The sequence below is a fragment of the Homo sapiens genome, chromosome 3, assembly GCF_000001405.40.
Source record: "Homo sapiens chromosome 3, GRCh38.p14 Primary Assembly".
Lineage (NCBI taxonomy): Eukaryota > Metazoa > Chordata > Mammalia > Primates > Hominidae > Homo > Homo sapiens.
This window is the reverse complement of record NC_000003.12, coordinates 148,754,314-148,755,891: the sequence shown is the minus strand read 5'-3', so window position 1 is coordinate 148,755,891 and position 1,578 is coordinate 148,754,314. Positions and strand designations below refer to the sequence as shown.

General features: G+C 48.0%; 1 annotated feature.

The window, feature by feature from the left end:
* Positions 327-828: an enhancer, noted in NCBI's record as "NANOG hESC enhancer chr3:148472851-148473352 (GRCh37/hg19 assembly coordinates)". NCBI's record gives its function as "activates a minimal SCP1, AML or CMV promoter by ChIP-STARR-seq in naive H9 embryonic stem cells {active_cell/tissue: H9 hESC(naive)}" and the evidence as "EXISTENCE:reporter gene assay evidence [ECO:0000049][PMID:30033119]".

Below are 1,578 nucleotides of genomic sequence, written 5' to 3'. Positions count from 1 at the left end.
ATCTTCCTTTTGTTCAGGTTTGTACATAGAAAGTTAAAATGAATGATCTGAGTATGTATTTAGGTCAGGATAACTTCATGACAAGTTTGGTCATGAAACAATACTGATTGTGTGCTTATGTTTTCATGACTTGACAATTTTTCACAATAGGAAAAAAGAATTGCTTGGGGCCTCAAAAAATATTTGGATTATGATTATTTGAAGCCCCCTGTCTCTTTTTTCAATCTATAGGAAACAGGAATATCACTCCAGCACTTTAAATTTCAAGTGTTTTCTATGAAAGGTGAATTCTTTTATAGGAAAGTCTTGTGTTCTTTTTCTTGTGGGCTATGTAGGTTTTCAGGATTTGGAAAAAAAATCTGGGGAAAGCCAACTCATTTTTTCACCTTGCTTAAGAAGAAATTTGGAGATTCTTCCAGCATCCAGAATGGAGAGGAGGAATAGAAAGGAGGAGGGGAAGAGTATGATGCTAGGGAAACGAGAGAGGGCTCCACACTCCAGGATGCGGCACACCTTCCTCCCCTTTTGAGGAGATTGAATGAAACACAAAAGCACTTGATGTGAGTGGGTTTCTTAGGCACAGTGAAGAAAGAGCTGTGTTTTGCCCCAGGGCGATGTGGTGTAGAATGGAAGCAGTTTGTGCTAAAGGAGGAGCCCATGGGGGAGCAGGAGAAGAAAGGAGAAGGGGAAAAAGAGGAGGTGGCGGAGGAGCTAAGCGCTCCTCCAGGCTGTGGGGTGGACACCACAGGGCTCTGCCCAGATCCTTTTTTCAGTGCTGAGACACTCATCCCTCAGGGGCTGGGAGGATTTGTGGCCCACAGCTGAGAGCCCAGTTTCCTTATCAGGACAGTTGTCCTCTGCTGGAGAGAGCTATCTTGGTGGAATGCGTTCCTGAGGGCAGACCACATCCACAGACTGGTCAATGTGGGGGTAGAAAGATCAGCTCTATTATAAAGGTATAGTGGTTACACCCCAACCTGGTGTAACTGTGCACGGCCATTCCGCCCCAGAACTCCCTGTGGGATTGTCTCAGACCTGCGTTGAGATCATCTCCTCGCAGGCCAAAGTCATCCTCTTCCCAGTCCCGTTTCCTTTATTCTCCCCCAGATGTTGATCCTGGGAGCATCAAGGGGAACTCCATCTGTGAAACCTGGAGGTCCCCTCAGGATTTGCAGAGATCTAGGGGAAAAGACCCAGACTTTTTTTTTTTTTTTGAGACGGAGTCTCACTCTGTCGCCCAGGCTGGAGTGCAGTGGTGCGATCTCGGCTTACTGCAAGCTCCGCCTCCTGGGTTCACGCCATTCTCCTGCCTCAGCCTCCCGAGTAGCTGGGACTACAGGCGCCTGCTACCACGCCCGGCTAATTTTTTTGTATTTCTTTAGTAGATACGGGGTTTCACCGTGTTAGCCAGGATGGTCTCGATCTCCTGACCTCATGATCCACCCGCCTCGGCCTCCCAAAGTGCTGGGAATTACAGGTGTGAGCCACCGCGCCCGGCCAGACCTTTATGGATTTTAGGGTTGATGAGGTGGAGTCACAGCAGTTTTACCTGGATCTAATGAGAGTGGCAGAAGACTC